This window comes from Homo sapiens, chromosome 6 (genome assembly GCF_000001405.40).
Source record: "Homo sapiens chromosome 6, GRCh38.p14 Primary Assembly".
Taxonomy (NCBI): Eukaryota; Metazoa; Chordata; class Mammalia; order Primates; family Hominidae; genus Homo; species Homo sapiens.
Window position 1 is genome coordinate 113,168,495 of NC_000006.12, and position 26,275 is coordinate 113,194,769.

At 37.1% G+C, this 26,275-nt stretch overlaps 2 long non-coding RNA genes across 6 annotated transcripts in view; one reads left to right on the top strand and one right to left on the bottom strand.

Annotated features, from left to right (window-relative positions):
* Window positions 1–26,275, top strand: part of LOC105377953 (uncharacterized) — a 29,486-nt gene that overhangs the window by 440 nt on the left and 2,771 nt on the right. Inside the window, exons 1-6 of one of the 5 annotated variants that reach the window (XR_942890.2) lie at window positions 3,547–3,643; window positions 4,852–4,923; window positions 6,419–6,483; window positions 7,701–7,783; window positions 10,963–11,051; window positions 11,389–11,583. This is a non-coding gene — a long non-coding RNA (uncharacterized LOC105377953). Of the gene's footprint in view, window positions 1–3,546; window positions 3,644–4,851; window positions 4,924–6,418; window positions 6,484–7,700; window positions 7,784–10,962; window positions 11,052–11,388; window positions 11,584–26,275 lie in introns of those variants that run through there. The other 4 variants (XR_001744311.1, XR_001744310.1, XR_942891.2 and 1 more) reach the window with 4 other exon arrangements.
* Window positions 1–26,275, bottom strand: LOC105377955 (uncharacterized). Its single transcript, XR_942893.3, has 4 exons — window positions 26,226–26,275; window positions 4,553–4,666; window positions 3,130–3,196; window positions 1–68 (listed from the first exon to the last, which is right to left on the bottom strand). It is a non-coding gene; the product is annotated as an uncharacterized LOC105377955 (long non-coding RNA).

A 26,275-nucleotide genomic window follows, 5' to 3' on the forward strand; every position in this document is an offset into this window, starting at 1 on the left:
CACAAGTTAAAGGTAAGGGATCCCTCTCAAAAAATAATTTCATAATTTCTGCAGACAGGAGCAAATTCCTGAAAAGTGAAAAACAGAAAGCAAAAGCAAAATAAGCCTTCTTAAATGGACTGCAAACAGTTTAAATAATTTTTTAATTAAATATATTGAATCAACTCATGGCATTGCCCATGGAAACACAGGTTTGGAACAAAGCTCTGCACGACATTTGTATCACCAGTGACAGGGAGTTATGAGGGAGATAAGAGAAAAGGGCAATAATGACCTATTGCAACAGGAACATCACAGATGTATGGTTATCTTTTGACGTTCCCCCTATAATACATGTTAAAAGAATTGGTTTTTGCCTTCTAAAGAATTTGAGCCTCATATGCCACCTTGTCCCATATTTAAAAAAGTAATCTCACCACATAAAAAAGATCTGGGGGCTGGGGATGGTAGCTCATGCTTGTAATCCCAGCACTTTGGGAGGCCGAGGAAGGCAGATTGCCTGAGATCAGGAGTTCGAGACTAGTCTGGCCAACACGGTGAAACTCCTTCTCTACTAAAATACAAAAACTTAGCCAGGCGTGGCAGTGTGTGCCTGTATTCCCAGCTACTCGGGAGGCTGAGGCAGGAGAATTGCTTGAACGGGAGGCAGAGGTTGCAGTGAGCCGAGATCATGCCACTGCACTCCAGCCTGGATGACAGAGCAAGACTCTGTCTCGAAAATAAATTAATTAATTAAATAAATAAAAAAGATTTGGGGATATTCATTAGTTATATTCTATTCAATGCAAACATATTAAATACCTCCTACGAGTAATACTGTCTGCAAAGAATACAAAGGTGCATACAAAATCCCTTTGCTGAGGAAGCTTATGGTCCAAGAGGAGTGGCCTGAGCTTAAATAAGTATAAAGGCAAGTGTACCAGTAGAAACACATGTAAACACGCAAAATTAGTATGCAGAGTCAGAAAACAGAAAATCATTTCCAAATTTGGGAGCAGAAGGGAGTGGCTGGAATTGCTTTATGAGGGTCTGAAGTAAGCCTTGAAGATGGTGTAGCATCTTCAAGTGTGACATCATGCAGCACTTTACAGTTTATAAAGGGCTTTCATATGCATGGTCTCATTAAATAAATCTTTACAAAAACCATGTGCAGTAGACTTTACTATCTCTATCTTATAAGTGGTATAACTATGACTCAGAGTTATGTCACTTGCCCCAAATCACAGGATAACTAGCAAAAGTTACATTAAAAAGCCAAAGGTTTCCAGTTGCCAAATGCTCTCATCTTCCCTCTATAGCGGTGGTTCTCCTATCCTTTACACTGTTAAAAACTATTGAGGATCCAAAACAACTTGTGTTTATGTGGGCTATCTCTCTCAAGGTTTATTATAAAACAAAAATTTTAAATGATATTATTTATTAATTCATTTAAAATAATAAACACATGCTAACAGATACTTTTTTTTTACAATTACATTTGTCTGAAAAACTAATTACTGGAAAGAGTGACATTGGTTTACATATTTGCCAACTTTAATGTCTGGCTTAACAGAAGACAGCTGGATTCTCAGATCAGCTTCTCCTAAATCTGTTGAAATACATTATTTAGGGTAAAGTATATAAAGAAAATCCAGCCTCACATAAACATGTAGATGGATAGGAGAGAAGAAATTCAATAGCCTTTTCGGGTAACTGTAGATATTAATATTTGATATCTACAAAAGCTCAACCAAGGGTAGTTAGCTCCAATGGAAGGTAAATAACTGTATCAGTGCATTTTTTTGTACCGCGTTGGTTTCAAATCTATTGGTCTATATTGCACATTGAAGGACTCCTTTACTCATGAATGATTTTGTACCATCAACTATTGTTTACGTGGAAAATATTGTTTCACTGAGTGATACAGTTCGGATATTCCTCCTTCCAAATCTCATCTTGAAATGTAGGTGGGGCCTGGTGGGAGATATTGGATCATGGGGGAAGTTCCCCCATGAATCACTTAGTGCCACACCCTTGATGGTGAGTGAGTTCTCCCTCAGTTAGTTCGGGTGAGATCTGATTGTTTGAAAGAACTTGGGACCTCCCCTTTCTCTCTCTTGCTCCTGCTGTTATCATGTGACCACCTGCTCTTCCTTTGCCTTCTGCCATGATTGTAAGCTTCCTGAGGCCTCACCAAAAGCTGAGCAGATGCCCATGCCATGCTTCTTGTACAGCCACAGAACTGTGAACCAATTAAACTTCATTCCTTTATAAATTACCCAGCCTCAGGTATTTCTTTATAGCAATGTAAGAATAGACAAATAAACTGTTATGCCACTTCTAAATGTGGATACATTACATTATATAAGATTTTAAAATTCACATCTATTAAGATCACTGAAGTCTTTTATGTATCTTCAAGCTACAATGATAGATACAAGTTTTCCAAAATTCAAGTTTTCACTTGAAAGCTGAAATTTTATCATTGGAAAAAATTTTGTCAGTTGTTTTTCTTGAAGTGGCATGCTCACTTTATTCACTTTCAAGAAAATGTCTGCCAAATAAGTATGAACACTATAATTTGTCTGTTAGTTGTTCTTTAAAGTAAAAATAGTTTTCCAACAAAAAAAGTGGTCAGTTAAGCTTGCAACTCAAACAATCACACAAATTCTTTTCCTCCAGATTACCATTGACCATCCTACTTCAGTATGCAGCAAGTGTTTTATGCATATTTCTCATTTTAGGACACACAATATTAAAGAGATGGGTGATCAACAGTAAAAATCTAGCAAAAGTAATACATTTTACTTTTTCATCAAGAGTAATTTTCGATGAAATTGGCATACACACAGACATGTATATGTATGTGTGTATATGTATGTGTGTAGATATGTGTGTCTATATGCATATATCTATATATTTATATAAACTGCAAATACATGACAGTAAGTAATACAATGACTACTAGTGTAATTTGGTGTCACTGCCTCAATTCATGTTGAGGTGCCAACAATTTTATCACTATTTTTTTTTGTACCATCAGTGCAAATGTCAGCATAGTCAAAAAGGCAAATAACAACTCTAGTGTTATTCTAAAAACAGAATTGACCTTGCAGAATAGCTCTCAGGGACCTACAAGTGTTCAGGTACCTCGCTTTGAAGACTGTTTCACTGTAAACACTTCTTGCTTCTCCTGCTCAATTCCTCATGTTGGTTGCTAAATGAGAAAAAAATAGTCACTAAATGATATATTACTGAAAACACCATTTAGTGTATTAGAAATCACCAATCAGAAGGTAAATAAGTTCATCAAGTAATTTATTTATAATAAAAATCAAGTTTGCCCAAGTCACTGTTATAGGCTGAATGTTGTGTGTCACCCAAAATTCACATATGGAAATTCCAACTCCTCCCTGCCCTCAGTGTAGCTGCATTTTTAGATGGGGCCTTTAAGGATGTTTAAGGTTAAACGAGGTCACAAGGGTAGGGTATTGATCCAATAGTACTAATGTCTTCATAAGAAGAGATTCCAGAGTGCTCACTCTTGCTGTCTCTGCCATCTGAGCACACAGCAAGAAGGCAGCCGTCTACATGCCAGGAAGAGAGCCCTTAACAGGAACTGACCCTGCCAGACCTTTACCTGCAGCTTCCAGCCAAAAGAACTGTGAGAAAATAGATTTCTGCTCTTTAAGTCACCCTGTCTATGGTATTTTATTATGGCAGCCTGAACAGATTAATACACCCACTTACATTATAACTCACGAAAATGCAGTCCAAGCTCTAGAGTTTTACATTAAAATAATAGAACTGAGGACTTGCATGTGAAATGGTTGTTTTTCAAAAAGCTAAATTTCAAATGTCTAATGTAGGGAGATGTTATACTAAATTTACATGTTGGTTCAGCTCTAATGTGAGGAAGTTAGATTAGATTATTTCTTTCCTTAATGCCCCATACATTGCAAGAGCAAGAGCATATTAGCTTGAAGAGTCTGGATATATTTTCCAAAATCAATACTTGTTCTTTAGCAGTGACAGAGTAGCAGACAATTGCATAATGAAGCTGTCTGTCTTTATTTACACAATGTATTTTTGTATTCACTAGGCCAGAAAGAATAGTTCTGTGTAGCAGCTGTCATTGTATTTTTTGCTTATCTCAGTCCTGTCTGCCAGTGTTATAATTCACCAGCTGACACCCGCCTTGGCAGAAACCAAGGGCCATGATTTCATGCCAAAGCAACAACAGGGCTCTGAACTCTGACACAATTCATCTTAGTTCTAGTTAGTAAAGGGGGATTCTTTGAGTTTTCTCTGCCTTCTGTTGAAGCATTTCTGTGTTGGGAGGGGAGAGGGCGAGGAGGAGATAGAGGGGGTGGTGGTGCAATGGAAAAGAACACTGGGAAACAGTTATGGCTCTGTCTGGTGCTGTGGAAGAGGGTCACAGGAAGACAGGGTCAGTTGTGAGGGATAAAGACTGGACACCCAGATAATGAAATTCCTGCTTGTTTGATTTTTCAGAGTTGGAAGGATATGAGAGCACATTTGGTATCCAAAAATACACTTCTGTTCAACTCACACTATTTGGAGGTTCAAAGTGTAATTTCTGGCGCTTTCTGATTTAGGAAGCTTAGACTCAAGCATGAAGGCAGTTGATTGTAGTCATCAAAAAGCCCTGTTTTGGTTGTGAATGCTAAATAAAATAGAAAACACACTTGCTCAAGTTAATTTCTACCTATTAATGTTCATGGTTCATACAGGTCTTATTCTGCAGATAGAGTAATGGCAGGCTTTACAATGTAGGCAATGTTAAACCTGAAAGAAGTTGTGGCCAGATAATCATAATTTTCTTTTCTTTTTTTTTTATGAACTTAAAAGATCAGATTTATTTGGAGAAAACAGAAATCCCACAACCCAAAGGATGGGATTTTACATCAAGACATCTCCCAGGTAATAAGTCTACAGATTACAAATCATTTTCATAGAAGATATTTTTGTACAAGTTTTACATGTATTCAGGAGCGGGACGTTAATCAATCCCTGTTTCTATTTTAATAGGGGGGATAAGGTAGGGGAGAGGGAGAAACAGTTTTGGATATAACTATTTGGAAGGAGAGTAGACATGAAGAGGGCAAACCCTAGCTTTTCATTTTCTACAATCAATGGTTTTTTTTTCTTTAAAAAAAACAAAAACAAAAACCTTTCAGTCTTCAATACTCTTTGAAAGCCCACTTCTTAGCTACTGGCCAATCCACACCAATTATTTAAATTCACTTGGTACACACCTTTGTCCACTGAGTAAATTACATTCATTATGCCCACTGCTGCAGCACGCATAAACCAACACCCCTGCATGGCTGAACAGGGCCTAATCTAGGACTGATGGGAGAAGGGCTTGCAAACCAAGATCAAGGTGTCGTTTCTCTGCTCATACTGTCTACCAAGTTGATCCCTACAAAAATGCACATAAAAGCAGGCAAGTTTAGCTACTGTGTTGCAAGAGAAACCAGGACCTTGTTAAGTAGTTCTCTCCATTACCATTTATTCTCTCAAGGGAAGCTTTAAGAAATAATAATAAAGAAAAACAACACATTGGTCTGGCCACCTCATGAATCCAACTAGCATTGGTGTGGCATTTCAGTGGAGAAGGAAACTTGGGGGGAAAAAACCCATCAAGGTTGTCAGAAAGGCTCCCAATTTAACTGTCCCTGTCCCTATTTATCCACCTTCCAAGACCATCCATTATTCTAGAGCACTCTGTTCTATAAAAAAAGGGGTCAAAACACCAGGAGCAGGCAAGGAGTGAGAATCAAAAGACATCAAGAAACCGATTTGCTTGAGAAAAGCAGCGATTCTTCCTTTCATAGCTCTCCATGGCTGAGAGAGAAAATGCCGAAGACATCAAGTATGTGACTTAGAGACTGCTTTTTGGGAGGTTAAGAGTAGCATGAAGAACTTAAGATGATGATAAGAGTCTAAATTTTTAGTTTCAAGGTTTCAACAGACTGTGGATATATTCAAACTTTCAAAAAGGACAGTGTTTAGAAAGGGTAAAACTAATTTTCTAACAGTCTTTCCTTTTTATTGTAAAAAAAAAAAAAAGATGCTCATGTACCGACTGTAAGAATCCCCTAGGTTTCCCACCATATACCTAGAATAAGAACCGTACTTTCCATTCCATTTCCTGATACTAGGCATGTCATGATGCACAAAGTAAAATGTCAAAAAAAAAAAAGATAAAACAAACTAGATAACTGAGGTCTTTCAATATCACTTTGGCTGACATTATCTTAATATATCAACAACAAAAAATTGTAAAGCTAGATCTATTAAGGTCACCGCCTTTGTTTTTCTCTTTGCTTTCTGAATATACACATAATCTGATTAAGAAAGCTTTCAATAAGGGATTGCCTTAAAAGTAAATTGACTTTCTATTGTATAATAGGCTGACATTTCTTGGCAACCTACGGAAGCTGTTCTGATGAGCCTCTGTGTTAGTAAAGAATACATGTAAGTTGTTTCTGATTGTGATCTTGGTATTGTGTTAACGGCACAGCCCTAAATATGGAGACAAGCCTCATGTATTAATGTTGCAAACTTACTAGGAAGAACAAAAACAAAAGGAATAATAATTTATCAAAATCTCAACTAAAACTACATTATACAACATTCAACACAATAATCACTGAATACCAAAAAGAATATTGGTTTCATGTGTTTTGTTGAATGAATAATACCAGATTTTCCCGTTGAAGGACAATTTGCAAAGAATATTTGGACTATGTATTCTATTGAAAAGATCATCCTTATTTGCAGGAAGAAGCTTGAAGGACATTAGTTTTTTACCTTTAAGCTAATAAAGTAATTCTGATGTATCAGTGATGAACCACACATACTCCAAAGGAGAACAACCTCACTCCCATCAGCCTTTAAAAAAAATCAAGGCAGAAGAAAAGACTCTATAGATCTTTGTGATCATCTTTAAGTTTATATTTAAAAGCTGACACACACATTTGAGTAGAAATGGCTAAATGTGAAGAAAAGGGATGGGGGCACACAAGATAACCAAATGGTTTAGGGCAAGGTGGTGAGCAGGCAAAGCACAAATGCTGAACCAACAGCAGCATCCTGGCCCCCAGTCAGAAACTGAGCTCTGGCCATAGAAGGAGGCTCTGGTCATCTGAACAATGTGAGGTCAGAGAGGATGGGCAAATCTACTTTCTCCCCAACCATCCTGCAGGCTTTCAAGATGGTGTTGAAAAACTAGTCGCCCACACTATATCTGGCCCTCAAAACACAAGCAGGCTATGAACATGTGAGGTTGGCTCACAAAAAGTTAGGAGACAAAAATCAGGTATGTCATCAACTTTTTAAAATTAGCAGGCTATGCATAGAAATACAGGTTTTCAAATTCTCCCTTTAAGAAAATAGCCAGTCTGACAAAACTGAGTGTATGTCTTCACAAGCTCAAATAACATGTTTAGGTGAGCCCTCCAATTTGCCATAGCTCCTACACTGCCTTTTTAATCCCCACCCAACCTGCTTCAGTCATTTATGTTAGATATTATTTCTTCAACTTAGTATGTCAATCCTGATGAGAAATCAATTGTTCATTTAATTATAGTTTCTTTGTAAATTTACCTGGTTTCTGTTCCAGTAATGTTACATAACAAACAACCCCAAATCTCCGTGACTTAGAACAGCAATTGCTTATTTCATATTCACAGCTCTATAAATGGACTGCAGTACAGCTGACCTTGGACAGGCTTATTTGGGCCTAACTGGGTTCTAAGCTTTCTGCTGGGTTCAGGTATGTTCTTCATGTCTTTATCTTGGGAACTATGTTGAAGGAATCAGCCTAGCTGGGACATACTCTTCATGAAAGAGTGCAAACTCAAAAGGGTTTCAGATTTGGAGCTCGCACATTGTCATTTTGCCCTTGACCAAAACTAATCACACAGCCAACCCCCAAATCAAGGATCCAGGGAAGTATATACCACTCACCCTGGCAATGGTAAGCAAGAAGATTTGTAAGTAAATAATACAACCTGCCACCATAGGCAAACTCTGTCTCCTCTCTTGTACCTTTGAACATTTCCTTTTTATTCTTGATCTATCAAATCACTATTTTTTATTCAAACCACTTGACAGCTGGTGTGAACCTTTTCATTTGAATATCTTCCTTCAATTCTAGAAAACTTTCCTGTTTTCTTTACATGTTGTTGTTGTTTATAAGCCACTTCCTTTATTATCTTCTGGAATTTCTTTTAGACAGCTGTGGACCTGTTCATCACTCTACCGTATGTGTATTGTAGTTTCTCTTTTCTTACATTTTTTCTTTCTGTTTGTTTGTTTGTTTTTTGTTTTTGTTTAACATGGAGTCTCACTCTGTTGCCCAGGCTGGAGTGCAGTGGCGCGATCTCGGCTTACTGTAACCTCTGCCTCCTGGGTTCAAGAAATTCTCCTGCCTCAGCCTCCCGAGTAGCTGGGACTACAGGAACGTGCCACCACGCCCGGCTAATTTTTTGTATTTTTAGTAGAGACGGAGTTTCACCGTGTTAGCCAGGATGGTCTCGATCTCCTGTCCTTGTGATCCTCCCTCCTCAGCCTCCCAAAGTGCTGGGATTACAGGCGTGAGCCACCGCGCCCAGCCTCTCTTCTCTTTTTTAAAACTTTGTCTCTTCGTGTCTCTGTTTTACTGCCTTCTGGACAAACTGCTGGATTTACCTTTCTTATCTCACTTTGTATCCAATTTGGAGTAGCCTATCTACTGTTTTTAATTAGCAAATTTATCTTTTTAGTACTTATAATTAATTTATTTTTGCTACCATTTGTTTTATTTATTTATTTATTCAATTTCAATAGCTTTAGGGGTACAAGTGGTTTTTGGTTACATGGATGAATTGTGCAGGGATAAAATTTGGACTTTTAGTGTATCTGTCACCCAAATAGTGTACTTTGTACCCAAGGGGTAATTTCTCATCCCTCATCACTTTCTCATTCTTTCCTCTTCTGAGTCTCCAATGTCCATTATACTATTCTGTAGGCCTTTGTATATCCATAGCTTAGCTCCCACTTGTAAGTTAGAACATGAGGTATTTAGTTTTCTCTTCCTGAGTTACTTCACTTAGGATAATGGCCTCCAGCTCCATCCAAGTTGTTGCAAAAGACATTACTTCATTATTTTTTTATGGCTGAGTGGTATTCCATGGTGTGTGTATGCATGTGTATGTGTGTGTACACTACATTTCCCTTATCCACGCATCGATCAACAGGCATTTAGGTTGGTTCCATACCTTTGCAATTCTGAATTGTGCTGCAATAAATATACAAGTGCAGGTGCCTTTTTGATATATTGACTGCTTTTCCTTTGGGTAGATACCCAGTGGTGAGATTGCTGGATCGAATGGTGGATTTACTTTTAGTTCTTTGAGAAATTTCCTTATTGTTTGTCATAGATGTTGTACCAATTTACATTCCCATAAATAGTGTACAAGCATTCCCTTTTCACCACATCCATGCTGCCTATCATTTTTTGACTTTTTAATAATGTCCATTATCCTGACTGGGGTAAGGTGGTATCTTGTAATTTTAATTTGCATTTCCCTGATGATTGGTGATGTTGGGCATTTTTTCATATGTTTGTTGGCCATTTGTACATCCTTTTCTTGTTTTATTTCTGCCTATTTTTAGTTCATTTTTATCTCCCTTCACCCATAAGCTTATTTGCATCTTTTCCCATGCTTATCTTCTCCTCTCCAAGTCAGTAAAAGAGAAATTTCTACTGTCTAATTTTTGTAACTTTCAAGATCCCATTCTCCTCTGTGTCCTCATGGCTCTCTGTTGATTATTTTATTTTCACTTGTCTCTTTAAACTCTCCATATACTATGTCTTAGCCTGTAGCCTTTAAATATATTCAAGTTTAGCTGACCTTTTAAAAATTAAACCTTATACCTCTCTGATATTACCCTCCTTCTCTTCACAGTTCATATTATGGAAAACAGTACCTGCCATCAGGTTTCTGTTAACTCATCAACAGCTTTGTAAAACCTAAGAAAAATTGCCCATTTCTCTGGATGTGACTCTGTGCCAGGGCATGACTCACTGAATGGAGCAAGTAGCTGTGTTTAGCTCACATTCACCTATTTGGCTGAGGGTTCTCACACAAGAAACCACCTGCATAACCAGATTAAGCCATTGGGCCCCTTACAATCCAATTAATTCTCAAAATCCTAAAGTCTGTCTACTAACCCTACTACATATTGAAAGAACTGCCACAAGGTCACCAATATCAACCAGGATGCTAAATCTCAATCATTCTTTTTAATTCTTCTGTTTTTCAATCCCTGCACTAAATTTGACACCAGCGATTACACTCCTTCTCTCCTACCTGAAATTATTTTGCCTCTTGGTTTCTAGGGACCTCCTCTTCTGAATTTTATATCCAGTTTTTACCTATAGCCTCCATCTACTCTTGAAGGCTGAGTATAAAGATCATCTCTTTTTGGGAGCTGTATATAATCCCTTCTTATGATCTGTCAAAGCAACCTACTTACATCTATTTCAGTACATATGACAACATATCATAACCATATTTGCACATTCTGTTCCCCTACCTCTACTGTCAGCTCTCTTATATCAAAAAACCTAGCATATAATATCTGCCATAGTAAACAGATGCTCACTAATTTGAGTAAATGAGTAGGTAATTATGATAATGCCATGCAACATAGCATGTGAAAATTCTTGGTATCTGTGAAATATACAAATAATGTCATTTGAAGCAAGTGATATTTTAAGATGAGAAATATGGAAGGTAAAGGGATCATGATGGTTTCAGATATTAACAAGGGGTCTAAAAGAGGTAAGAATAACCAAAGATATGAGCATTGAAAACAAAGTTCTTTGTTTCCCCGTAGTCCTGCCAAAATGTTCCTGAAGGCATCAGCAGACACTTTCTTTAAGTCTCCTTTATTCATTTTTTAAAGCTCTTTGTACTTCAGGCAACAACACCTGAGAGGATTTTTCTGGCAGGCGAAAAAATGTTTGCAATGACTTTGATGATACGGTGACTGAGGTGAGAATTTTATTGAATTTCTTTTCTGTTTTTTTTTTTTTACACTGACAAGAATTTACAAACAGTAGAGGTAAATAGACCCACATTTCTCTATATTCTTTGTCATTTAAGGAGATATATTTCTAGTCATTTGCCAGACAAGTAATTGGTCTAAATGTGTCCTCTTATGGAAAAAAAAATGTAGCGTCTTTTATGTATGACGGTCAGTCCTGGTACAGTATTCAAATCACGCTGACTTTATTAATCATTGGCTGAAGAGCCCTTGATACTTTATGATACTCTTAATAGTAGATGATGCTTAAAGTTAGAAAATAATCTGCATCCCATGTATTCTCAGGTGTATTTATCCTTAGGTGCATAAGCAATGGCACACAACCAAAGACTGGCTGCTACCTTCACATTCCTTCTAAAGGGGCTAAAAGGAAGAAGTATGGAAAAATGTATCCACTCAAGTAGAAATTTTATATTGAGTGTGCAGTTTTGATTTTGAATGTCTGATTTTGTTTGTAGGCCAAAAAAGACTGTGATTCCAAATTTGTAAATTAATACAAATAAAAATTAAAATTGCATTAAACATCTTTGTGCAGTAGGATAACAGTTTTTGAGATGTTAACAACTTTTTTATTTTGATGTTTAGATTTTTTTTCTCTTCTCCATTCAAGCTCATTCAATGTGTTTGTTGCCTCAGAGATGAATGTGACAGAGTGTAAATTTGAGAAGAGGGGACTCTTATGTAGATGATTTCCAAAATCCTTTGGACTTAGGAACATGGAGAGGATGACTTAGGGCAGGGACAAATTCAGAGAAGGAACATCCAAAGTGAGAGAATGAAGGCTCTTTCCACCAGAAAGGAATATAGTGAGAGCAGAGATGTTGAGAAGTGGTGTGAAGACGTCTGAAGGGAGATAACATAGATATGAGGAATATTTCTGCAAAGGGTCTTACTCTCAACCTTTCATTATGGGAGCTGAGTCTGCAGCAATAGACTGCTCCCGGTGAAGATCACTCAGCCTCATGCTCATTGATGCTCTGGCACTGCCTAAAATCTGAGGGCCATGTGTAAACTTTCCAGCTCTCATTTTTTCCTTGTACATTAAGGCCAAAGAGACAGAGAACCATTCTTTCCAAGGTCCTGCTCTTGTTGGGCAGATAGGTCCCTTCTTTGTCATCACTTTCCTCAGTATGTGCCCAGCATGATTGATGCTGTCTATTATCTAAAAATGTCCTTCAATAACTTCCTTGACTCTTACAGCACCCCAGGACATCCATAAACCAAAATGTGTATTTCCCTGAACAGCAAGCAAGGAGGTGGGCATTGAGGAAATGTTAAGTCCCTATACTTGTATTAATGGGAGCTGGGATGGGGAAGTAGGTGGTATTGAATGGAATCAGTTTTCTGAACCAGAGACTCATCAATGGCATGGGTAGATGGAAAGAAAATTTCTTCCCTTACCCAAGATATTTCTAACAAACATGTTATCTAAGTATGCATATTACATTTATGTTTCTTTTCTAAACATTTTACATAGCTATTAAGTAAAGTTGGTAAGTAAACTATGGTATGGCATTTTCTTTTTTAGCTATAACTTCTGTTTTACAGAACTGGCACACTGAGCACCCATAAACTTATTTTGTTTAGCTCACACAGTGTTTAATTAAAATTAATTACTAGCATTTAAATATTTTGAAATTTCAAATGAAAATCCAAGTTTCTGACTACTCTTGTAAACCTGGATAGTTGAACAACACTGGGACTGTTCTTGCGTGGCTGCAGTTGACTGCAGCTGAATAGATACTGGTGCCCTAAGCCAAGGCAAGTGCTCTCTAGCCACTTGCCCACAACCACTTTATTCATTCCCTTTTCTTTCTGGGCCTTGAAGCATTAGCGTGCAAAAATGCTTGCATAAGGAAGCTTAATATCCCTTCCAAGAATGATCTAGTCTTTCAATTTCAAGATGAAATACGGCACACTGATAAATATTTGCTGCACACACACACTTAAAAACACAAAGTATATACATCCTCATGAATCAAATCATCCTCAAGTCTAAATAACTAAAAGGGAGACATATCTCCTGTATTGAAAGAAAGCCCTGTAGGATTTAAAATACAAGGAATGCATGGAGAAGGTGGGCAGCATGTACACAGCTGAAATATAATGGATCAATCTAACAAGAAATCTTGCACAGAGATTCTAAACGAATAGTCAGCTTTTTCCTCTTAGAAAAACCAGCATTGACAATGGAGAGAATAGGGAAGGTTCTGGGACACAAAATAAGAAGGACAAAAGTTTATCTTTGGAAAACTAAACCTGTAACCACTTGTTAACACTTTATTTTACAAATCTGCTCTTGATTTATGAAATTTTCAAAGATAGTTAAAATCATCCTTTCCTAAGAAGAACCACTCCTTTTTACATTTAAAAGAATCCTAGACATTTGAGCAATAATAGTTTATAGATACCATTGCCTTAAATAAATGTAAAAAAGAACTCAGGACATCTCTTTTGCCAAGATTACTCAAAATTTAGGAAATTACATAAATACACTCAGAAGTTCAAGGGTCAGCTTTTCTTTATCTTCAGTCTTCATCACGCATTTGCAATACATTATAAAGACTGATAGCTTCCATAAGCAGATAAAAAAATTGTTGGGATAGGAAAGTTTAATCGATATAACTTAAAAGTACCACAGATACCTGATGAATGTCAAAATGTCATATTCCCCTTTTTGCTGTGTTACTAGAGCCATTTGATTTTAAAGAAAACGTAAAATGTCAAAGCATCAGAAAATTTCTGTATGGTCTTTCTGTTCAAGGTTCCCCATCTTTCTTGGCTATTAACCAATATACTCAAGAAAAAGCTTTCATCACTCCAAAAAAAAAAAAAAAAATTTCAAGGGGGTTAGCACTTGAGGCATTGTCTTCCTTAAAACACTTCCTATTTGATTCCCTCTGACAGCTGTTTATGTTGAAGATTACTAACATTCCCAAAGTACTTCATAGTAAAGATTAAACCTGAAGATTACAAAGGTTTATGCATTTTCACATACTGTGATGTGACCTTAATCTACTTAAATCTAAAGAAAAAAAGTCATTTTACAAAGACCCATTTAGCTATTTCGACATGATTCTTTATTTTTTTGGATGCTTATTTGGCATATGAGCCAGAAATTTAAAATGTAACAAAAAATATGTCTTGAAAAAAATTAAAAACAGGCATTTGCAGCACGATGGAAAAGTTCTATAGAGCTTTGAGGGAAGTCCATTCAATTTCACTGGCATTCATAAATGATGACTAATGCATTCAAATAGAATGAGTAATTTACCAAATTACAGACATTTGGATGGGCTCAGAATGAAGATGTTGTTTGTTTGGATATGTCCTGAAGTGAATCTCAATGAGGTTTACTTTGTTATGCCTGACTCTACAAATAGACTTCAGTCACAATTTGAACAAAAGCCCTGACATGTAAATAAATGTGCAAATGATGCCCAGCTACATTATTCTTTTTGTCCTCGGACCACTCAGGAACAGTCAACTCCATTAAAAAATATCAGTCACAAATAGATGGCACCATTGTACTTATCACAAAAGCACCATAAAATAGGCTTCTCTTGGCAAGTTATCAGTGTTATACCCATTCTCTTCACGCCACAAAAACCAAGTCCACACATGCTACAAAATACCTCTCCTAGCAGCCATGGGCTACCCTACAAAAAGTGGACCCTCCACACTTGCATGCTAGTGCCTCATAATATTGGCATCTCCTATCGGACAGCACAAGAAAAGAGCTTTAAAATTCAGAATGCTTCTTTTAAAGGGCTTCCACCCACTGTTATGAAGCAGAGATGAAGGGCAACAGCAAACCCAATTTCCAGTCACAACAACATATGCATTGCTAAATGTCTTGTGATGGGGCTCAAACTCCAACACACTTTGGCAGTTTCTGTAAAGGTCAGAAATTCCAGGTGATAATATAAAATCAATCCTTCATATAATTGTTTCATATGTATCCCAAAATGAATTAGACCTACTATACATCTGGTCCAAAAATTCTGAACATTTGCTAAAGTTGACTGAAAAAATAAAAATATAACCTTTGCCTCATAAACTGAATTGAATTACTAACAAATTATTCTAGAGGTAATCACTTCATTACTTCAGCTACAAAATCTACCTAATTGGATTTTGATAATCAGGGGAAATCTTACTACTACCGTGTCCAAAGCAGTTCTGTCCATTTTCCTGCCAGAATGGTCATGATCCTGGCAACTGTTAGCCTGTTCATTCTGAGGCTTCATTCAAATACATATATACCACACCAAATATACCACAGATACAGCAGAAATGGTTCCTGAGACCTGGAGGATACAATCTTGCATAGAAGAGATATGTTGACCAAGTGACTGGAGGATCATAAGGGCTGTAAATTACCAGTACAAAATTCTGTGGAAGATTACCACAGAATTACCACAGATTCCCTTGTTCCCTAGTCTAAGGGAACAAGGATGGCTTCTCTAAGGAGCGATGTTTAAGCTGAGACTTGAAGGGTGGTGCTACTGACGAGGTGAGTAAGTAGCATGAGCAGGTAGGAGGATTCCAAGCCAAAGAAACAGGACATCCAGAGGCTCCAGACGAAGGAGGATGATGTATGTGGAACTGCACCGAGGCTAGTGTGGCTGGAGTAGAGAGAGGCAGGAAGTGTCTAAGGCTGAGGCACCAGAGGCAAGAGTCAGTCAGATCATCCTAGGCCTTAGAAACTTCTTAGAGCCTGTGGGTTTTATTCCAGAGATGACTAAAAGTCATTAGAAGGTGGAAGAGTTTTGCTAGGGCTGCCTTGACGAAGTACCACAGACTGAGTGGCTGAACCAATTCATTTTCTCACAATTCTGGAATTTAGAAGCCCAAGATCATGATGTCAGCAAGAATGTTTTCTCACAATTCTGGAATTTATTTTATCACAATTCTGGAAGTTAGAAGCCCAAGATTGCGATGCCAGCAAGGTTGGTTTCTTCTGAGGGCTCTCTCCTCGGCCTGTAGATGGCTGTCTTTTTCCCTGTGTCTTCACATGGTCTTCCTTCTGTATGCAGCTGTGTCATAATCTCTTCTTATAAGGATACTAGTAATATTGGATTAGGAGCCACCCATCCCAGTGACCTTATTTTAACTAAGTTAGCTCTTTAAAGAGCCTATCTCTAAACATAGTCATATTCTAAGGTACTGGGGGCTACGGATTCAATATATAAATTTTTCAGGGATGCACAATTCAGCCCATACCAGAAGGTTTAGCAGAGGGCAATTATATAACCCCATTTAGGCTTGACACGTGCACTCTGCTTGTAAGTTGGAAAGTGTAGCAGAGGGCCAAGACAGAAGGTGGGCCAAGAGCCAAGGTGCCATTGACAGGGCCTCTTCTGTAATCCAGGGAAGAGACCACAGTGGGGCAGGGCCCCAGCTTTGCTTCCTGGAGACTGGTGAGTATATCCAGACAAGAAGTAACTTGGGAAAAAGGACACCCATCACTTTGTACCAGCAGAGAAGAAGACAAGGGAAGCAGCAAGCAAATAGATTTGTAGCTATGATGTCAGGAAGTTAAGTTGGTTTGTTTTCATGGTTTCTCTTTTAATTTTCTTTGAGGTAGGACATCTGCTGAGAATGAGAAGAGAGAAAATTGCAGATGTGAATTGAGTAGAAAATATTTTAAATTGCCATTTCAGGGAGTGGGGAAGCAAGCTAACAAAAAATCTCATTAGAATTTCTATGCAGTGTTAAAAGCCCCTTAAGGATGAGTGACCACAGATTCAAAGTGGCATCCATGTCCCCTTTTTGTGGATTTTATTTTGCTGTCATGCTTGACTATGTGGGGACAGATGTGGGGATGGTGAAGAGCTGGATTATTCCAGAGTTCAGATTCTCAGGACAGAGTATTCTTCCTGGAGAACTGCAAGAGGAGTTCTGGGCCACAGCTGTTCCAGCTCAACCCCTGGGAATTTCCCAGGTGCTTGGAATTTGAAGTTATAATTTCACAAAAAAAGCCTGGGATGGTAGATGTTTTCTGGCAGTGCTGCTGAAATGAAAACCTCCTGGAAGCTTTTCACCTTGCTGTGTGGCTCCTGGGGACTCCTTGCACATCTTGAGGCTCCTCCTGTGTGCCACAGCTCCACATCTATGCTAGATTCATTGTGTCACGTTTATATTTTTTTCTTTTTTTTTTTTATCTTTTTTTTGAGATGGAGTTTCGCTCTTGTTGCCCAGGCTAGAGTGCAGTGGTGAATGGTGCGATCTCGGCTCACTGCAACCTTCACTTCCTGAGTTCAAGTGATTCTCCTGCCTCAGGCTAGAGTGCAATGGTGAATGGTGCGATCTCGGCTCACTGCAACCTTCACCTCCTGAGTTCAAGTGATTCTCCTGCCTCAGCCTCCTGAGTAGCTGGGATTATAGGCATGTTCCACTACACCCGGCTAATTTTGTATTTTTAGTAGAGATGGGATTTCTCCATGTTGCTAAGGCTGGTCTCGAACTCCCAACCTCAGGTGATCCACCCGCCTCAGTCTCCCAAAGTGCTGGGATTACAGGAATGAGCCACTGAGCCCAGCCTGTATTTCTTTACTTCAGCTATTTCAAATGTCTTCTTGCCTGCATATTTCCCTATATAGGAAACATGCTTATAATTTAGTACAAAAAAAAAGATTATATTCATGCCACATAGCACACAATAAAGCACAAGACATGATGAAGGGCTGCTGCCTTTATGTCATTCTCCTGGTTCACATGCTAAAGTACCACCAGGATTTTGGAAATTGAAAAAAAATCATTTCTCTTCTGAAAAAAATATGGAAATCTTGCAGAGTCTGAACACAAAGAAGGAAGGTACTTTGGGATGTCTAGGAATTTAATGCTTCCATCAGGCCATGTGTGCATGAGAATTCATTCCAAACTGTCCATTGTCTCCCCACAGCAAATGCGCGCGCACACACACACACACACACACACACACACACACACACACACACACACACACAATCTGTCACAGTATTGAGCTCTTCAGAAACATAGGAGTTCAGAGTTCACATATCTTGAAAGGATGGAATTTAAAGATACAATTTTCATAACATAAATTATTTTTAAATAAGCGCTACTTACTGTGTTTTATAGCAGTATGTGGGCTCTTGCTGTGTAATAATAATAAATTACAAGGGATTTGTCAATAAAAAGAAGTTGAATACTGTAAAATATTGTCCAAGCAAAGTATAGGTCTAAGATAATGCCTGAATGTTTTCAAAATATGCTTATCTGAAACTTATAGTTGAGGCAGGCATCAAATTTTCTGAATAACTTCATGATTTCCATGTTAAACATCATGGTATAAACTACAGTAGTAGAAATGGAACTTGGTGTATTCAGTCTACAATATAAAAAATAATACAGTTGTTCTTAAAAATATGTTATCTTTCCATTGTTTAGGTTGAGATTGCCAACAGGTAAAATTAGATGTACAAGCTGCTGAAAGGGAAGAAACACACTTGAATTTAGTTGCTGTTTGTAACTAGACACCTGAATTGGTAGGGAAGGAAGGGGCAGAAATAACAGAACACAGCTAGGTGGTATTTTTATTAGCTAGTATCCTCAGAGAATCATTTATGTGACATTCCAAAGATAACGAATAGGATCCCCCAAGTGAAAGACCCAAATAAGATATAATTATGACAGCCAGCTCCCCTGCAGTGATGGACTTTTCACTAATTTAGATACTTGTTTCTAAAATGTAGTGCATTTCTAGTTTCAGATCACTGAAATAGATATGTCCACAGAAAGTTATAAATTCTACAATTCTTATCACTTTGTTCAGAATTCTTGAAATTGAAGAGAAATATAATCTCTATAACAACTGGGAATAACTGTCACAGGCTTACATAGTCTTCAAATTAAAAGAAAATCCTTTCTCATATGTCTATCAGGTATCTCACCACCTTCTTAAGACTACAGAAGGAAGCAATGCCTTATGTTTTATATAAAGAGAATAAATTTATCTAAAGAAATAAAAGAGTCGCAATCACCTTAAATTAGGGGAGAAGTTTTGCCTCAGGAAGTTTGGCTTTATTTCTTTTCATTGTAAAAACAATTCAGATGTTTTAAATATGTTCTATGACATACCAGGATCTTATTTTATCTGCGAAAATTAATGGTCTCAAAGAGGCAAGCTAAGAGACAGAAAGGAGACACCTCCATAGTTCCACAAAGCTGTTTCACCAAAATTAAATGACTATTAAAAAAACATGTGGCAAACAGATCTGAGAGTTTGTTTTAAATTGGAAGCATTCCACCTTCCAACTCTCAACTGAGTACCAGAATTACTTCCTTCTGCCAGAGATCTGAGAAAATCATGCTGAAGAGTGCACAGGCTATTTGCTGTAATATTATTTCAATTCCATGGATCTGTAGCAATCTTCAGCTATGGCACTGTAAAATTAGTTTTAGATTTTTCCAATATAATATATTTTCCTTTTTTTCTATTCTCTTCCTCCTACATAGGAGCTTGTGACTGTGCATGTCTAAAAACAATCACCATCTTTGACATCCTATGGCATCGCATCTTTGCCTATTAGGTCAATTTCAGAGAATACTGTTTCTTCTATTTATCAAAAGATCAAGAACTGAGTTTTCTTAGGATATGTCTCACTTCTTACGCTATTGTTCATTTCCTACTAGCCCAGTGTGTTTTTTTCATGGAATTTTCTCCATCCCCACAGCCATTTGTACTCTAGAGCTGGGATTAAGCCCAAGGTGGGCGTGGAGGTGATGTGAACTATCAACACACACTACCTCAAAATGTGGCTCCTTGGATTTGAGAAAACAGCAGAAGCAGGAAGGTCTCTGCGATCTTCTTCTACCCTTTTCCCCTGAAGCAGGCCATAGTAGAATTTTCTGACTTTCCACTGAAGCAGGTCATAAGATTCTCATTTGAGAGTGCACTCCCTCTACCTTTATCTCAGAAGACACAGGGCACAGATAAGAATTTAAACAAACAAGCCTTGCTAAGTTCTCCCCAGTTTATTACCATTAGATAATACTCCTTATTTCCAATCACACTTCTCCACAACCATCCACTTCTTCAGCAAATTTAGTATAAAAAAACACAACTTCCTCGTTTCTTCTGGACTTCATTTTCTTATGAAGCCTCCTATGTCACATAAAACTTATGTTAAATATATTTATATGCTTTCCTCTTGCTATTCTGTCTTTTGTTATAGGGATCTCAGCCATAATCCTAGAGTTGGATGAGAAAATAAATCTTTTCTCTCATACAGAGAGAATAACAATTTACCCAGGACCTAGGCTTCTCTGTATTGCTGTAGTGTACTCTGGTTGAAACCATCAGTATAGTGGCCTACACAGCAACTCTCAGAATGGACAATCTTTTTCTACAATTTGTTATGTCTCTTTCATGCTATCCTCCCCTCAGCGCTCACATTTCCACGTCTTTCTCAATCTTCGTCTCTCAAAACTTACTTTCAGGAAAGGTTGCAAAAAACCTTTGCACGGATCTGCAAACACCTTAGCATACTTGACTAATTTCAATCTCAGGTGCAATTGAACTTTAAGAGCAAACACAGTTTCTTAAAGCAAAGAACTGTATCTGCTTTTGCAGAATTTCAGGCTGAGCAAGTTTGCAGAAACACTAATTGTGGAGCTACCAAAGAGATTACTCCATGGAGTCAACCAACCATTCTACTTTGGTTTATTCAAGATATCAGAAAGCATTTGTAATCTAGTAGATGAAAAGAGACCTCAAAACAAAGAAGCTTATTTAAATGTTATAGGGTACACACACAAAAAAGAATTTTACTTTAGGGTGTCAGTAAAAGCTTCAGGGAAAAGATGATGCTCCAGCTAATGTCTAAAAGAGATGCAGATTATTTTTAGGTAAACCAAGGAGTGAAATGTTTTCTGTCACCTAGGAATTGCTGTGAACTAGGTGTCTAAAATAGAGTGGATTTGAGGGAAATATGAATTATTATTATTATGCAAGCAAGCTAAACAATGGGGTGTAAAACATGGCTCAGAAAGAGATGAAGCTGAAGAGAAACCGGGGCCAGATCATGAAGGCTTTGTGTACTTTGACAATGAAGACCTTACCTGTATGTCCATAGTTCCCAAAGTGTGTCATGTGTGTTTTTAATGGAACATAAGCTGATTCTGGGTGTTTTTGAATACTTTGGTTATTTTTACTCAAAAATTCGGGGGAAAAACCTTTTAAAATGAGTTTCTTCTATGAAGGCCATACAATATAGGTTTTTACATCTGTAGAAGTAACATAAAATGCCCCTCACTACTGCTACTACTACTAATAAATGTATTCAATGTTTTATGACATAAATAAAAGGATACATTAAGTAATTATATGAGTGGTACATAGATGTGGCAAATGTCATAAAAGTGGTATATAAACGACTTCAGTTTGAAAAACGTAAGAGACATAATAAGGGACGGTTGCAATAGTGTCCCCGAGTGGAAAACCATCTGCAGGAGTTACCATGCAGGTCATTACATGCTTGCCCCAGATATTCAATCAGTGCCATTATGGGTTTTAACAAAGGGTACCCATTCTGAGTTTCACCCATCTTCCTCAGCCTTCTTCCTGCCTCAGGGAAACACCAGGTGTTAGCTCATTAGGCTTGTGATGTGAAGAAACAGAATTGAGTGGTGTTTGGTGAAAGATACCCTTCTCCATTTTAATGCAATAGGTAGTCAAGCATTTGATTTGAACATGAAGCAATGGATCTTACTGCCCCCTTGTGCATGCAGGTGTGTCGCGCTTGCACACACACACACACAAACACACACAGGCACAGGCACAGAACAAGGCAGGGAGGCATTCCTTTCTGGAATTCAGTCAAAAATTATTATTTTCCACTCCAGTGGAGATCACATTCCAGGCCTCATCCAAGGAGACAAAATCAAAGGAATTGATATGTCTTTGCATTAAAAATAATTTGCAGGGTCAGTGACCTGAGCTATTTCTGTGTTTATTAATTACATGGGTATTTTAGTTTCCACTCGTTTTCTGTCCCTTCCAATAAAAGCAACTAATGAGATGCTCTTGACTAGTCTATTAAACAGACTCTATTTCTAAACTCCCCTTAAGTAAAAGAGACATTGTGAACAGTTTCACATGAAATTTTGATGGTATTTACAGTCATCACTTACCTACTCAGGGCTTAATTACATATTGACTTATATTGCTCACTAGTTATTTTGTTGGTGATAGTCTTGTTCACCCAACAAGACTGTAGTTTCTAACGAAGGTGTCGTTATTTCATGTATGCGTCTCTCAGACGCATTAGGATTAGGTATATGGTAAGTGCTAGATAAATACATGGTATTTATCTTGCACAGGATTAGGTATATGTTAAGTGCTAGATAAATATATGTCCTTTTGTGATGCAATGCGTAGTTTATAAATTCTTACTAGGGCATGGAGGAAGTACAAAAGATGAATAAGTAAAACTTCTCGGATGATTAGGGGACTTAGCAAATCTGATTCTATCATGATTTCTCATGGAGTGTATTTCCTTTTGAAGCTGTTTGGCACAAAGTGGTTAATTTCACCTCTTTGACCATTTTAACCAAAGGTTTCCTTTAGAAGGAGAAATTTTTCTGCCATTAAGCATTGGAACACAGTTTAAATTCTCTGGTCTTACTGAAATCACAGTGGTATGTCCTTCTGAACATATTTGTCCAACTTTCAACTTGTCAGCAAAACAGATTGTAGTAGGTAGCATGAGAAAGTATCATTACTGGTTACTCTAGGACAGCCCAAAATGGAGACTGTAAACCCTTGGGTACTCACAGAAATCCAAAAGTATCTCTATACAAAATGTTTGTTTCTGCATTGCAATTTTAATGTTTTGAAGAGTGTCTATTCTAACCTTTAAATATTTTAAATTAAATGAAAAATGAAAATACAACTTATCAGAAATTTGTGTGTACAGTAAAGCAGTGTTTAGTGAGAAATTTACAACACTAAATCTATACACTAAAAAGGGAAAGATATAAAATCAATAACCTAGATTCTATTATAGGCAACTAAAGAAAAAATAAAAAAACCAAACAAGCAGAAGAAAGTAAACAATAAAAATTAGAGAAGAAATTAATGAAATTGAAAACAGGAAAACTAGATAAAACAACAAAAACAGAAGCAGATTCTTTGAAATATTCAAGAAAAGTGATGAACTCTAACAAGACTAACAAAGAAAAAATTAGATGACACATATTACTGATATCAGGAATAAAACAGGAGAATATTCACTCAGACCCTGAAGACATAAATAATAATGATGATAATAATAATAAGCAAATACTGCAAACAGCTCCACAAATGTAAATTTGACAACTCAGAGGCAAGGAAACAATTCCTTAAAAAATTAAGCCTACCACAATTTATACAAAGGGAAACATATAGCTGAAATAGCCATATAACTATTAAGAAAATTGAATTTTTAATTTAACAACTGTCAAAATAGAAATTAGCTGGGCTAACCAAGTCAAAAAGACAGAAGACACAAATTATCAATATTAGAATTAAAAGAGGTTTCATCACTACAGATCTCATGGACATTACAAGCATAAGAGACAAATACTGTGAACAAGCCTATGCCCATAAATTCACTAATTTAGAGGAAATGGACCAATTCATTGAAAGATACAAAGTACCAAAAACTCACACAAGGAGAAATGGATAATACAGCCTATATATATGAAAAAATTATATCAATAATTACTAATATTCCCCCAAAAAAGCACCAAGTCTAGATGGTCTCTGCACCATAAATCTTTCAAACTTCACACTTTTCTAAAGCCTCAACATCCCCACAAACAGGCTATAAACATTCCACTCAGGTGACTAGGTATATCAGTGCCACAAAGTTGGTCACTACCACAGGTTAAAACTTCCTGCCCACCTCTGACTATGACCTAATGACATTCAACACACCAATAAAATTCCCTCATGTCCTTTGCTTGTGAAATCCCCCTGTAAGTAAGGACACTTACCCACAGGTTGATCTTCATTCATTCTCCCTCCCACCCCACTCTACCCCCATTTCTCCCTACCTGCTGGTTAAGTCCACTTTGGGAGCTCCTCTCATATGGCTCCCTGTATGGTATGCCATGACTCTGGTCTCTAAAACCTAGGAGTACTCTGGTCTCTAAGACCTATGAGTATAATAAATATTTCACTTTCATATACATCTGAGTGTAATATTCATGACCATGTTGGAATGATTCTTAAAGACCCTATAAGAGTAACTTAATCTCCCATTTACAACACAATGTTCTTGTTGAATTCTACCAAACATTTAAAAAAGAAGAAATGCCATTTCTCCACAATCTCCTCCAAACATTAGAGAGAGACTGCTAGAGTATCCTAACTTACAACTCATTAGAGAAAGTAATTCTGGTCTGAGTAAGTAACTCTGTAAGTTAGAGCATCCTAACTTACAATTCATTCTATCAGATCAGCATTACTCCAATAGCAAATCCAGATGAAGACATTACAATAAAGAAAAGCTATAGACCAATATATCTTATGAACAAAGATGTAAATATTTCCCACAAGATACTACAAATTAAATCCAATAGCATATAAAAAGAATTATACACCATGACCAAGTGGAATTTATTCTAAGTATGCAAGGTTGGTTCAATATTCAAAAATCAATGTAACTTACATATCAACTAGCTAAAAAAGAAAAATCATATGCTCATATCAATTGATGCATAAAATGCAGTTGACAAAACCTAATACCAATTCATGACCAAAAAAAAAAAAATGCCAGCAAACTAAAAACAGAGGGAACCTTGCTCAATTGATCTAAAAAATTTGCAAAAAAAATCACACAATTAACAACATACTTAGTGGTGAGGAACTGGACACTTTACCCCTGGGATCAGCAACAAGGAACCACTCCTATTCAAAATCATACTGGAAGTCCTAGTTCATGCAATATTAACAGGAAATGAAATAAAAACCATGCAAATTGGAAAGAAATAAAACTGTCCTTACTGGAGAATAGTATTAAAAACCATGATCTGAGGATGTTCGAGGACTAGTTGAGAAGATCAGAGGAGCCTGACTAAAGTTTGGTCAGGGAGGGAGTCCATCAATATGCAAAAAGATGAACCTAGACACAAACCTTTCACAGAAGTTAACTCAATATGAGTCGCAGACCTAAATGTAAAATACTAAACTCTAAACTTTCTAGAAGAAAACATAGGGTAAAATCTACATGATTTTGAATTTGTTTATGAGTTTTAGATACAAGGTCAAAAACATAATTCATGAAAGATAAATTGATAAGTTAGACTTTATTAAAATTACTCTCCAAAAGACAATATTAAGAGAATAAATAGATGTTACAGACCATAAGAAACTATTTAAAAATAAATAGTTCATAAAGGTTTTGTATTAAAACAAATACAAATAACTCTTAAAACTCAGCAACAAGAAACCAAGCAACCCAATTTAATAATGTCCCAAAGATGCAGACCTCTCACCAAGGAAGGTGTAACAGTGATGAATAAGTGTACAAAAACATGTTCAGTCTCATTTGTCTTTATCTGTATTCATTTCCTATTGCTGTTGTGATCAATTATCACAAACTTAGTGGCATAACTCAACACAAATTTATTATTTTACAATTCTGTAGATCAGAAGTTTGAAATGACTTATGGACAAAAATGAAGGAGTCAGCAGAACTGTCTTCTTTCTGGATAATCTAGGGGAAAATTCATTTCGTGCCTTTTCTATCCTCTAGATATTGAGATGCTTCTAAATATGTATATGTATGAATTCATATACACATATATGTGTCCTTGCTCTGTGAACTGAGGGGGTCTAGATGCCACGTCACCCAAGTAGCAGTAAGCACATCTAAATTCCAAATAATTTATGTTCAAGGAGGTGGCACATAACTCCTCACTTTTTAAGTGTGAACTGCACACAGTGACTTCCTTCCAAAAAGTAACGTATAAAAATGGGAGGAAAAGTAACTTCACAACGGAGAAATACACCAAACATTTCCGCAACAATATAGCCAATGTTAACATTAACAGTGATAAGTCATTCTGATAGCATGCACCCTTGCTATGAGGTGATGAGAATGGCACTTTACCTTATCTTCCTCTGCAAAATTTATAATCCCAGTTTAATCATGAGAAAAAC